General features: G+C 40.4%; 1 protein-coding gene and 1 pseudogene across 4 annotated transcripts in view; both read left to right on the forward strand.

The window, feature by feature from the left end:
- The window catches only part of MLLT10 (MLLT10 histone lysine methyltransferase DOT1L cofactor), a 209875-nt gene that overhangs the window by 37731 nt on the left and 157884 nt on the right, over positions 1–14260 (forward strand). The window lies entirely within an intron of this gene.
- LOC100422524 (solute carrier family 4 member 8 pseudogene) lies at positions 8647–9184 on the forward strand (annotated as a pseudogene).

The raw sequence follows: 14260 nt of genomic DNA on the forward strand, positions 1-14260 counted from the left end.
CTGGGCACACGTGCGGCCCATTTGTTTTTTGTCTTCCAGGGATGACTGTGTTTTGTTGCTTGTCCAATATCTTCAGTGCTGTTGTTTCATTCATTTTATTAGGTTTTTATTATTTCGTGCAAGGAGGCTATATCTGGTCCCCTTTATTCACTCCATCTTGACCAGAAGTGGTATCATTGTGGTTTTAATTTACTTTTTCATGATAACTGATGATATTCAGCACATTTTAGCTTGTGTGTTGACCATTCGTGTGTTCTCTTGTGATGAGTTTGTTCATTTAGCCTTTGCTATTCTTTGTTTTCTTTTTTCATCTATTTGAGTTGCAGAAGGTGTTTATATGTCCTAAATACTGATCCTGTGTCTGATAAATGTTTTGTAAATACTTTCCCCAAGTCTATATGGTTTAACTATTTATTTTAACTGTACCTTTTGATGAGCAGAAATATTTATATCTGATAAGTTTAATTTATCAGTGTTTTCTTTTGTAGTTATTGCTTACTGTGAGCTAAGACAGTTTTGCCTAACCTCGAAGTCATGAAGGTAATTTCCTTTATTTCCTCTAAAAGGTTTTGCTTTTGCTAATTTATATTTAGGTCTGTGATGCATCTGAAATTATTTTTGTAGGTTTGAGTATTTTGCATATGGCTATCCAGTTGTTTTTCACCATTTGTTGAAAACAGTCTCTTTTTCTCACTGGGTTGCTTTGGGAACATCACATGGCTGCATAAGTGGGATATCTTTCAGAAATCTTTATTCTGCTCCAAAAATCTGTTTGTCTAGCCCTGTTATTCTGATAATTTTGTAACTTTATATTGTCTTGAAGTCAGAATTGCAAGTCCTAAAACCTTTTTCTTCTTTTTCGAAGTTCTGCATATTCTCCGTCCTTCACATTTCCATATAAATTCTAATAATCTCTTTTCTGTCTTCTCCAAGAAAGGCTGATGGGATCATGATTATAATTGTCTTGAGTCTGTTGATCAGTTTGAGGAGAACTGACATCTTAACAACGATTGAGTCTTAATCATTAGTATAGTATATCTCTCCATTTATTTAGGTCTTTTTTGCTTTGTCTGAGCAGTCGTTTGTTGCTTTTAGCCTTTGGTCTTGCATGTCTTCTGTTTTAAAATTACTTTTTTTTTTTCCTGTTTTTTTGAGACAGAGTCTTACTCTGTTGCCTCGCTGGAGTGCAGTGGTGCAATCTTTGCTCACTCCATCTCCTGGGTTCAGACAATTCTCCTGCCTCAGCCTCCCAAGGAGCTGGGATTACAGGCATGTACCACTAAGCACAGCTAATTTTTATGTTTTTAGTAGAGATAGGGTTTCACCATTGTTGGCCAGGCTGGTCAACTCCTGACCTCAAGTGATCTGCCTGTTTCGGCCTTCCAAAGTGCTGGGATTACAGGCATGAGTCACCACGCCTGGCCTAAAATTATTTTTAAATATTTTGTCTTTTTTTTGATGCTATTTTAAAATATTAAATACATTTTTTAGCAATTATAAAGTATTATAAAAATTTCTAATTTTTTGTTGGAAATAGAATTTTTGTATATTGACCTGTTTCTTACAACCTTACTTAAGTCATATTAATTCTACTAGTTTTTTAGGTAGATTACTTAGATTTTTCTAATAGATGATTGTCATAAAACACTGTTTTATCTCTTTTTTCCCATTTGTAATTCCTTTTATTCTCTTCCCTTACAGAATGGACTTAATCTTGTTTTCATTCTTAGAGGAGAGCATTCAGTGTTACACCATCAATTATAAGTCAGCTGTAGGGGTTTTATTGATGAAGTTTATCAGATTGCTTTCAAATATAGCTTTTATTACTATTTAGATATGGCAAGGCCAACAGAACCCAGCATGACTGCCATTGAAAAGATAGTTTGTTATAGTCACAGACCCCAAGAGGAATAGTCATGCCATGCCATGGAGAATACACAGCTGAGTAGCTTCCTGAGGGTTTGTGTCATGAATGGATATTGAGTTTTCTCAAAAGCTTTTTCTGTATCTATTGAGATAATGCTATGTTTTTAAAGATATTAATGTAAATTTCATTGTTTTATTTTCAAATGTTACGCTAAATGCCATTTGGTGTCATGGTGTATTATTCTTTTTTTTTTTTTAGTGATGGGTACAGTGGCACAATCTCTGCTCAGTGTAACCTCCACCTCCTGGGTTCAAGTGATTCTCCTGCCTCAGACTCCCAAGTAGCTGAGATTACAGGCACGTGCCACCATGCCCGGCTAATTTTTTTTGTGGAGACAGGGTTTCACCATGTTGGCCAGGCAGGTCTCCTGACCTCAAGTGATCCTCCCGCCTTGGCCTCCGAAAGTGCTGGGATTACTTTCGTAATCCATGTGAGCCACCACAACTGGCCTATTCTTCTTATATATTGTTGGACTTAAATTGCTAATAGTAAATATTTTTGCAACTTTGTATGGGAGGGATTTTGTTGTAATCTTGTTGCTTTTTGTCAAGTGCTGGTATTTTTGGTATATTCATTGGTATTCTTCATGCTAAACTTAGAAAATGATTTGGGAAGCATTGTCTTCTCTGTTTTCTGGAAATACTTGTGTGAGATTGATTTATAGTGTTTGAAGGAACTTATCAGTGAAAAAATCTGAGTCTAGAGTTTTCTTTTTGGGAAGGATTTTGATAATGAATTCAACTTAAAATGCTTCTCAGATTTTCTGTTTTATCAGTTTTGATAAGTTTCATTTTCAAATAATTTTTTCTTTTCATCTAAGCTGTTGAATTGGTTAGCATAAAGTCATTAATAATAATCTTTGGCCTTCTTAATATCTTTGGGATTGTAGAGGTAATTCCCATTTTATTCTTGATATTGGTAATTTGTATTCTTCCTATTTAAAAAAAAATTAATTTAGCTTGCAGATTGTCAACTTTTTAGGTTTTTCCAAAGTGTTACCAGAAAGGGGGTCCCAATCCAGACCCCAAGAGAGGGGTTCTTGGATCTTGTGCAAGAAAAAATTTGAGGCGGATTCATAGAGTAAAGTGAAAGCAAGTAACTTATTAAGAAAGTAAAGGAATAAAAGAATGGCTACTCCATAGGGAGAGCAGTGCCATGGCTGCTGGTTTCCCATTTTTATGAGTATTTCTTGATTGTATGCTAAACAAGGGGTGGATTATTCATGAGTTTTCTGGGAAAGGGGTGGGCAATTCCCAGAACTAGTGGTTCCTCCCCTTTTTAGACTATATAGGGTAACTTCCTGGCATTGCTATGGCATTTGTAAACTGTCATGGCGCTTGTGGGAGTGTCTCTTAGCATGTTAATGTATTATAATTAGTGTATAATGAGCAGTGAGGACGACCAGAGGTCAGTTTTGTCACCATCTTGGCTTTGGTGGGTTTTGGCCCCCTTCTTTATTACAACCTGTTTTATCAGCAAGGTTTTTATGTCTTGTATCTTGTGCCAGCCTCCTATCTCATTCTGTGACTTAGAATGCATAACTTACTGCAGTCCAGCAGGACTCAGCCTTATGATTTCCCCAGCCCCTGTTCAAGATAGAGGCATTCTGGTTCAGAGGCCTCTGACAAAAGGACCAACTTTGACTTCAAATTCTCTGTTACTTTTCTTTTCATTTCTTCTGCTCTCATTTTTACTATTTCTTTTTTCTACTTACTTTGGGTTTACTTTACTCTTTTATATATAGGTTCTTTAGGTAGAACCCTACTTATTTTATTTTATTTTATTTTATTTTATTTTAGACAGAGTTTTGTGCTGCCACCCAGGCTAGAGTGCAGTGGTGCGATCTTGGCTTACTGCAACCTCTGCATCCCGGGTTCAAGCGATTCTCCTGCCTCAGCTCAGCCTCCTGGGTAGCTTAGATTACAGCCACCCGCTGCCATGCCCAGCTAATTTTTGTATCTTTAATAGAGATGGAGTTTCATCATGTAGGCCAGGCTGGTCTTGAACTTGCGACCTCAGATGATCCACCTGCCTTGGCCTTCCAAAGTGTTGGGATTACAGGCGTGAGCCACCATATCCGGCTGCTAGGTCATTAATTTTATATCTTTTTTTCTAATGTGGTTAGGGAACATAATCTGTATGATTTCCATTATTTTCATTTTATTGTGTCCTGCTTTATGGCTCAGTATGTGGTCTTCCATGGGGTATGCACCAAGTTTACCTGAAAAGAATGTTTATAGTGGTTTTAACATTGCTTAGATTATTATTATTATTTTTATTTGGTTTGGTTTTGTCAGTCACAAAGAGGAGTGTTAAAATATCTTACCACGTTTGGGGCACTGAGTATTCTGACTATGCCTTATGCTAATTTTTGCTTCATGTATTTTGAAGCCTTGTTTTTAGGTGCATACATTTATAATTATTATGACTTCTTCATTGTCTGACTTACTGTGAAATGCCCCTCCCTCTCTTTACTATGTAGCCACTCACCATCTTTTTTTTCTTGTTGTTTGTTTGTTTGTTTTTTTTATGAGATGAGGTTTTACTCTGTCACCCAGGCTGGAGTACAGTGGTGTGATCTTGGCTCACTGCAGCCTTTGCCTCCTAGATTCAAGCAGTTCACCTGTTTCAGCCACCCTAGTAGCTGGGACTATAGGTGTGTGCCACCGTGCCTGGCTAATTTTTGTATTTTTGGTAGAGATGGGGCTTTGCCATGTTGGCCAGGCTGGTTTCGAACCCCTGGCCTCAAGTGATCAAGTGCCCGCCTTGGCATCCCAAAGTGCTGGGGTTACAGGCGTGAGCCACCGCACACCCAGCCTATCCATTTACTTTTTTTTTTTTTTTTTTGAGATGGAGTCTCGCTCTGTCGCCCAGGCTGGAGTGCAGTGGCATGATCTTGGTTCACTGCAAGCTCCGCCTCCCAGGTTCACGCCATTCTCCTGCCTCAGCCTCCCGAGTAGCTGGGACTACAGGCACCCGCCACCACGCCCGGCTAATTTTTGTATTTTTAGTAGAGCTAGGTTGTCACCATGTTGACAGGCTGGTCTCGATCTCCTACCTTGTGATCCACCCACCTCGGCCTCCCAAAGTGCTGGGATTACAGGTGTGAGCCACCGTGCCCGGCCATTCCATTTACTTTTGACCTGTTTGTGTCTTCACTTAAAGTGTGTTTCTTACAGACACCTTGTGTTTACTTTTCTATCCGTGCTAATACACAATTTTTTTTTTTTTTTTGAGTTGGAGTTTTGCTCTTGTTGCCCAGACTGGAGTGCAATGGCACAATCTCGGCTCACTGCAACCTCCGCTTCCCGGGTTCAAGCGATTCTCCTGCCTCAGCCTCACGAGTAGCTAGGATTATAGGCATGTGCCACCACACCTGGCTAATTTTTGTATTTTTAGTAGAAATGGGGTTTCTTCATGTTGATCAGGCTGGTTTTGAACTCGCGACCTCAGGTGAATCGCCCGCCTCGGCCTCCTAAAGTGCTGGGGTTACAGGCGTGGGCCACTGCGCCCGGCCAATTGTTTTGTTTTGAAACAGTGTCTACATCACTACAATCAATTTTAGAACACTTGTATCCCCTCAAGAAGAAGCCCTTTGGCCCATTAACAGTCACTCTCCATTACCCTACTTCCCCAGCTCCTGACAATCACTAATCTTCATTTCTGTCTCTATCCCTATTTGGGACATTTCATATAAATGGAATCATATGATATATGGTGTATTGTGAGTGGCTTCTTTCTCCTAGCATAATGTACAAGCATTTGTTTTGTAGCATTAGAACTTCATTCCCTTTTGTTGTCAAATAATATTCTGTTGCATGGCTATACTACATTTTCTTTACTCATTCATTAATTGATAGACATTTAGGTTGTATATACTTTTGCAATGTTATGAATAACGTTATTATGAACATTTGTCTGCAAATCCAGACATTTGTTTTGAATTCTCTTGGGCGTAGGATTTTTGTTTCATGCTGTAACTCTGTTTAATCTTGAAAAACTGACAGAGGCTGTAACATTTTAAATTACCAGCAACAATAGATGAAGGTTTTTTTTTTTTTTTTTTTGAGACGGAAGTCTCCCTCTGTTGCCCAGGCTGGAGTGCAATGGTGCAATGGCGCAATCTCAGCCCAATGCAGTCTTCACCTCCTGGGTTCAAGTGATTCTTCTGCCTCAGCCTCCCGAGTAGCTGGGATTACAGGCACCCACCATCATGCCGGGCTAATTTTTGTATTTTTGTAGAGATGGGGTTTCACTATATTGGCTAGGCTAGTCTTGAACTCCTGACCTCAGGTTATCCGCCCACATTAGCCTCCCAAAGTGCTGGGATTACAGGTGTGAGCCACCGCACCCAGCCTATATGAAGGTTTTAATTTCTCCATCTCTTTGCCAACATTTTTTATTGTTTGGCTTTTGGTTTTAGCTATCCTACAGGGCATGAGGTAGTATCTGATTGTGGTGTTGATTTTTATTTATTTTTTTCATTATATTATTTTTTTAGACAGAGTCTCACTCTGTTGTTCAGGCTGGAGTACAGTGGTGTGATATCTTGGCTCACGGCAACCTCTGCCTCCCGGGTTCAAGCGATTCTCGTGCCTCAGCCTCCTGAGTACCTGGGATTACAGGTGCCCGCCATCACGCTTGGCTAATTTTGTAATTTTAGAAGAGTTGGAGTTTCACCATGATGGCCAGGCTAGTCTCAAACTCCTGACCTCAGGTGATCCACCCGCCTAGACCTCCCAAAGTGTTGAGATTACAGGCGTGAGCCACTGCACCTGGCCTGGTGTTGATTTTTAATCCTTAATGATTAATGACGTTAAGCATCTTTTCATGTGCTTATTGGTCATTTATATATTTTCTTTGGAGAAGTGTCTATTTAGATCCTTTGTTCAATTTTTAACTGGGCTGTATAGCTTTTTATTTTTGAGTGGAAGAGCTCTGTATCCTGGATACAAACTACTTGTCAGACATGCGACTTGTAGACTTGTAAATATTTCTTCCATCCTTTTACTTTCCTGATGGTTTTGTTTGTAGCAAAAAAGTCTGTAGGTTTGGTAAATTCTAGTTATTTTTTCTTTTATTGCCTCTGCTTTTAGTGTTATGTCTAAAAACTGTTGTTTAACCGAGTCCTAAAGACTTACCTCCTATGTTTTTTTCTAAAGTTGTATAGTTTTAGCTCTTACATTTAGATCTGCGATTCACTTTTGAATTAATTTTTAAGTATAGTATCAGGAAGGGTTTCAACTTAATTCTTTTGCACATTCCTCTAGCAATTTAAGTATATTTCTTTACTCTTTTCAGTCTGTTTTTATAGTATTACCACTTATGGGTAATATTGTACAAGTCGTAAAGTATACAAAGCTTGTAAGTTGTTCTTTTATATCACCTCTGTTTGTTGTCAGTTATGCTATTGTCATGTGTGTTGGAACTATGTATATTATAAGCCCCAGAAAACAACAATATAATTTTGGCTTTCAATAATCATGTAATGTTAAGAACTTAAGAGTTGAAAGTCTTCTAAGTTTACCCAGATATTTACCATTTGTGGTAGTCTTCTGAAGATTGGCATTTTCTAGCATCATTTGTCTTAATTCTGAAGAATTTCTTTAGCCTTTCTTGCAGGGCATATCTTTTGGTGATAAATTGTGTTTTCTTTCTTTTATCTGAAAGTACCTATTTCATCTTTATTTTTGAAGGGCATTGTGGTTGGATTTAGAATTCTGTGTTGACGGTGCTTTATCTCTTAGCAATTTAAGTATTTTAGTTTACTTTCTTTTGGCTTCCATATTTTATGATGAGAAATCTGCCATTTATCCAGTCACTGTTCCCTCTGCCCTCTGTGTAATGTGACATTTTCTTTTGGTGCTTCAAGATTTTTCCCTCTGTGTTTGCTGTTTAGCAAGGCATTTGACTATTTGAGGTTTGCTGAGATTCTTGAATCTGTGAATGTGTCTTTTTTCAAATTGAAGAAATTTTCAGCCATCGTTTCTTCAAAATTTTCTTTCCTGCCTCATATTCTTTCTCTCTTCTTCTTTTTAAGGCCTTTGGTTATGCATGTGAGACCTTTTGGTACTGTCCTGTAGGTCCCTGAAGCCCTGGTTTTTTTTTTTGTTTGTTTGTTTTACCTCTATTTCCTCTTTCAGATTAGATTCTTTTTTTTTTTTTTGAGGTGGAGTTTCGCTCTTGTTGCCCAAACTGGAGTGCAGTGGTGCGATCTCGGCTCAACACAACCTCCGCCTCTTGGGTTCAAGTGATTCTCCTGCCTCAGCCTCCTGAGTAGCTGGGACTACAGGTGTGTGCCACCACACCTGGCTAATTTTGTATTTTTTAGTAGAGACGGGGTTTCTCCATGTTGGTCAGGCTGGTCTCGAACTCCTGAGCTCAGGTGACCCACCCACCTCGGCCTCCCAAAGTGCTGGGATTACAGGTGTGAGCCACCATGCCTGGCCTCAGATTAGATTCTATCTATTGATGTAGCTTCAAGTTCACTGACTCTTTTGTCATCTCAGATTTGTTGTTATGAAGCTTGCCTAGTGAAATTTTTACTTCACATGTTGTATTTTTAGTATTTAAAAAATTCTTTGTTTTTTTGTTTTGTTTTTTCTTTGTTTTTTTTTTTTAATTTGAGATCAAGTCTTGCTCTTTTGCCCAGGCTGGAGTGCAGTATTGCTATTATATTACTGCAGCCTCAAACTCCCAGGCACAAGTGATCCTCCTGCCTCAGCCTTCTGAGTATTTGGGACTGCAGACTGGTGCTGCCACGCTCGGCTTATAGTTTCTTTTTTATTGTTGTTGCTGAGACATCCTGTTTTATTTATTATAGGTTTATCTTCAGTGGGCAGATTTAATTAGCATTTAGTGACATTTTTCCGTAAAACTTGACAATATAACGGAAATGGTATAATTTGGAATAGAGAAAAGAAATCACTCATAATCTTACCATCCTTATCACAGTCCTATTAATATATTTTGTGTATTTTTTTTTTTTTTTTCGAGATGGAGTCTTGCTCTGTCACCCAGGCTGGAGTGCAGTGGCATGATCTTGGCTCACTGCAACCTCTGTCTCCTGGATTCACGCCATTCTCCTGCCTCAGCTTCCTGAGTAGTGGGGACTACAGGCGCCCGCCACCACGCCTGGCTAACTTTTTTTGTATTTTTAGTAGAGACGGGGTTTCACTGTGTTAGCCAGGATGGTCTCGATCTCCTGACCTCGTGATCTGCCTGCCTCGGCCTCCCAAGGTGCTGGGATTACAGGCGTGAGCCTCCACACCCGTCCTATTTTGTGTATTTTCTTTTCTTTTTTTTTGAGACAGAGTCTTGCACTGTCGCCTGGGCTGGAATGCAATGGCGCGATCTTGACTCACTGAAACCTCTGCCTCCTGGGTTCATGGAATTCTCCTGCCCCAGCCTCCCGAGTAGTTGGGATTACAGGTGCACACCACCACGCCCAGCTCATTTTTTTTTTTTTTTTTTTTTTTTTAGTAGAGACGGAGTTTCACTATGTTGGCTAGGCTGGTCTCGAACTCCTGACCTCATGATCTGCCTGCATTGGCTTCCCAAAGTGTTAGAATTACAGGCGTGAGACACTGTGTCCAGCCTATTTTGTGTATTTTCTTTTAATGTTCAGTGAATTTTTTTTTTTTTTTTTTTGAGACGGAGTCTTGCTCTGTAGCCCAGGCTAGAGTGCAGTGGCACGATCTCGGCTCACTGCAAGCTCTGCTTCCCGGGTTCACACCATCCTCCTGCCTCAGCCTCCCTAGTAGCTGGGACTACAGGCGCCCACTATCACACCTGGCTTATTTTTTTTGTACTTTTAGTAGAGACGGGGTTTCACCGTGTTAGCCAGGATGGTCTCGATCTCCTGACCTCGTGATTGCCTGCCTCGGCCTCCCAAAGTGCTGAGATTACAGGCGTGAGCCACTGCGCCCAGCCATATTTGTGTTTTTAAACATAGAAAAGGTACAGCTAAAATAATGGTATGAAAGATTTTAAAAAATGCACTTGTATAGGGCTTTACCATGAATGAAGCTTACAGGACTAGAAGTTGCTCTGGGTGAGTCAGTGAGTAAGTGGTGAGTGAATGTGAAAGCCTGGGACATTTTTGTACACTACTGATAGGGTTTGGCTGTGTATCCCCACTGAAATCTCATCTCGAATTGTAATCCCTATGTGTTGAAGGAGGGAGGTGACTGGATAATGGGGGCAGTTTCCCCCATCCTGTTCTCATGATAGCGAGTGAATTCTCTTGCGGTCTGATGGTTTTGAAAGTGGCAGTTTTTTCCTATGTACACATTCTCTTTCTCTTGCTTGCTGCTATGTAAGATGTGCTTGCTTCCCCTCCTGTGATGATTGAAAGTTTCCTGAGGCCTCCTCAGCCATGTGGAACTGTGAGTCAATTAAGCCTCTTTTCTTTATAAATTGCCCAGTCTCAGGTAGTTCTTTATAGCAGTGAGAGAATGGACTGCTACAACTACTATAGACTTTATAAACATTGTACACTTAATGTACACTAAATTTATTTTAAAAATTGCTCTGTCATGTTACTATGGCTATTACATCATTACGTCACTAGGCAATAGGAATTTTTTAGTTCCATTTAATCTCATGGGACCACCACTGTATATGTGGTTGTTGTTATGCAGACTGCATTTTGAGAGAGACCACATTCATATAGCTTTTCTTATAGTACATTGTTATTTTTTTTTTTTAATTTTTAAAAATTTTTTGAGGTGGAGTCTCTTTCTCTGTTGCCCAGGCTGGAGTGCAGTGGAACGATCTTGGCTCACTGCAGTCTCCTAGGTTCAATCGATTTTTGTGCCTTAGCCTCCTGCTTAGCTGGGACTGCAGGCACGTGCCACCACATGCAGCTAATTTTTTTGTGTTTTTAGTAGAGATAGGGTTTCACCATGTTGGCCAGGCTGGTCTCGAACTCCTGACCTCAGGTGATCTGCCCGCCTCAGCCTCCCAAAATCCTGGGATTATAGGTGTGAGCCACTACACCCAGCCTGTTCTATTTTATTGTTGTTGTTAATCTGTTACTGTGCCTAATTTATAAATTAAACTTTTTATAGGTATGTATGTATAGCAAAAAACAGAATCAAGTGCTCAGTACCATTTGTTGTTTCAGACATCCACTGGGGTTCTTAGAATGTTTCTCCCATGGATAACTGGGGGACTACTGCATTTAGGAGGTGACTGAAGTGGTCCTGATGAAAGGTGATGCTTGCTTTAAGTAGGGTAATAGTGGAGATGGAGAGAGAGAGGCAGATCTCACCAGTATTTAGGAAGAGGAAGGGCACAATACAGTTATGGATTAAAAGTGAGATTAGGGAGTGAGGCATGAAGTGGTCAAAGATGACGTATACTAGGTGTCTTGCGTGAGCAATGTGTCATTGAAAATATCATTACCAGTATATGAAAAGAGCAGGAAGAGCAGATTTTGTCATAAATTGTGGAGCGTTTCAAGTGTCTATGTAGGCTGGGTGAGGTGGCTCACTGTAATCCTAGCACTTTAGGAGGCTGAGGTGAGTGGATCACTTGAGGCCAGGAGTTTGAGACCAACCTGGGCAACATGACGAAACCCTATTTCTACTAAAAATAGAAAAAGTTAGCTGGACGTGGTGGCACACACCTGTAATTGCAGCTCCTTGGGAGGCTGAGGCAGGAGAATTGCTTGAACTCTGGAGCTGGAGGTTGCAGTGAGCCGAGATTGAGCCACTGCACTCCAGCCTGGGCAACAGAGTGAGACTCCATCTCAAAATAAAATAAAATAAAGTGTTTATGTAGCATATAGAGTTTTATACCTGAACCTGAGGACAGATACAAATAGATAAAATTTGGGAGTCACTGTTACATTTTTATAATTTAGTTGGTAATGGAAATTTGGACAATGAGTAAGATTGCCTAGTGTTTCATGTGAAATAAGATGACATCTTAGGCCAGAGCCCTGAGGAATTTCACCATTTAAAGGTTTGATAGGGTGATCAGAAAGGTGCTGCCAAAGAGGTAATAGGAAAATCAGGAGAGTGAAATACTGAAAGGCAAGAAGTATAGTGGTATTAGCCTGTTTCAGGTTAAAGGAATACCTGAAACTGGGTAGATTATTAATATAAAGAAAAGAGGTTTATTTGGTTCACAGTTCTGTAGGCTGTACAAGTATACCACCAACATCTTTGGGCTGAGGAAACTTTTACTCATGGGGCAGTGGGAATGGGGACCAGGAGTGTCACATGGTGAGAGAAGGGAGCAAGGTGGCAGGCTCTTTTTACCAATCAGATCTCACATGAGCTAACAACAGCAAGAAACTCACTCATTACCACAGGGAAAACACCAAGACATTCATGAGGGATCTGCCCCCATTACCCAAACACCTTTTGCTAGTTTCCACCTTCAACATTGGGATTACATTTTTACATGAGATTTGGAGGCACAAATATCCAAACTTTATCAATAGGCTCAATTTTTTTTTTTTTTTGAGACGGAGTCTCGCTCTGTCACCCAGGCTGGAGTGCAGTGACGCGATCTCGGCTCACTGCAAGCTCCGCCTCCTGGGTTCACGCCATTCTTCTGCTTCAGCCTCCCAAGTAGCTGGGACTACAGGCGCCTGCCACCACGCCCGGCTAATTTTTTGTATTTTTAATAGAGACGGGGTTTCACCGTGTTAGCCAGATGGTCTCGATCTCCTGACCCCGTGATCCACCCGCCTCAGCCTCCCAAAGTGCTGGGAATACAGGCGTCAGCCACCGCGCCCAGCCTTTTTTTTTTTTTGAGATGGAGTTTTGCTCTTGTTGCCCAGGCTGGAGTGCAGTGGCATGATCTCTGCTCGCTGCAACCTCCGCCTTCCGGTTTCAAGTGATTCTCCTGCCTCAGCCTCCCAAGTAGCTGGGACTACAGGCACGCACCACCACATCCCGCTAATTTTTTGTATTTTTAGTAGAGATGGGGTTTCACCAGGTTGGCCAGGATGGTATTGATCTCTTGACCTCGTGATCCACCCGCCTTGGCCTCCCAAAGTGCTGGGATTATAGGCGTGAGCCACCGCGCCCAGCCAATAGGCTCTATTTTTTTTTAAATTATTTTTTGTAGAGATGAGGTCTCACTTTGTTGCTTAGGCTGGTCTCGAACTCCTGACCTCAAGTGGTCCTTCTGTTTTGGCCTCCCAAAGTGCTGCGATTATATGTGTGAGGCACTGCACCCGGCCTCATTAGGCTTTTATGGCTTATGCTTTCTGTACTTTTAATACTATTTCAACTTAATTTTCTACTCCAATTTTTTGTTGTAATTTATATATGTATGTAAGTGTATATATATTTATATGTAGGGTGTGTATATATAGTGTGTGTATATATATATAAAGTATGTGTGTATGTGTGTATATATATATAATGTGTGTGTTTATATACACATACATATGTATGTATACATACACACATATATATACGTATGTGTGTATGTACGTGTGTGTGTGTGTGTTTATATATATGTATATGTATATATACATTTTTTTTTATTTTTGTTTTTTTTGAGATAGGGTTCACTCTGTAACCCAGGCTGGAGTGCAGTGGCGCAATCGTGGCTCACTGCAGCCTTGACCTTCTGGGCTCAATTGATCTGCCCGCCTCAGCCTGCTGAGTAGCTGGTACTACAGGTGTGCCACCACCACACCCAGCTAATTTTTTGTTTTTGTTTTTTGTAGAGGTGGGATTTTGCCGTGTCGCCCAGGCTGGTCTTGAACCCCTGGGCTCAAGCGATCTACCTACCTCAGCCTCCCAAAGTGCTGGGATTACAGGTGTGATCCACTGTGCCCGGCCTATATTACTATATAGTATGCTGCAAAACCTCTTTTGGAAACAAAGTGGGATATAAATAATACTCAAGTGAGACTTTCAGGAACATATTCTTCTTGGTAAGACAGTGCCACTGAAACTTACTGTGTTTCATAAGAAGTGGTAGTACTGGCTCTACTTTTATTTTTGGTTTTAAATTCTGAGCATGAGAAGGAGAGGGATCCACAATAAATTTTGAGTACTATTGTATTTGAATAATAATAACTGATTATCCTAATTCCTTTCAGAAGGGAAATCAGCATGCATGAGATCATTTCTTGCCACTTAAATTAAAATTCTAAATTCTAGAGTTAGGCTCTTTAAGAGAAACCAGACCTACTTGACGGCAGTCGTCCTAGCTGACCATAAGACAGGAAGTAAACAGGTAACAGGCATATGTTAAAAGCCTTGCCCCATTCCTGTGTTGAGAGGACCTTTTTGTTTTTTCTCCCGCTCCCCAGGTAAATAATCCCAGCATCTTTGTGTTTTTATTAATGTAAGATTTAAA

The sequence above is a fragment of the Homo sapiens genome, chromosome 10 (assembly GCF_000001405.40).
Source record: "Homo sapiens chromosome 10, GRCh38.p14 Primary Assembly".
Taxonomy (NCBI): domain Eukaryota; kingdom Metazoa; phylum Chordata; class Mammalia; order Primates; family Hominidae; genus Homo; species Homo sapiens.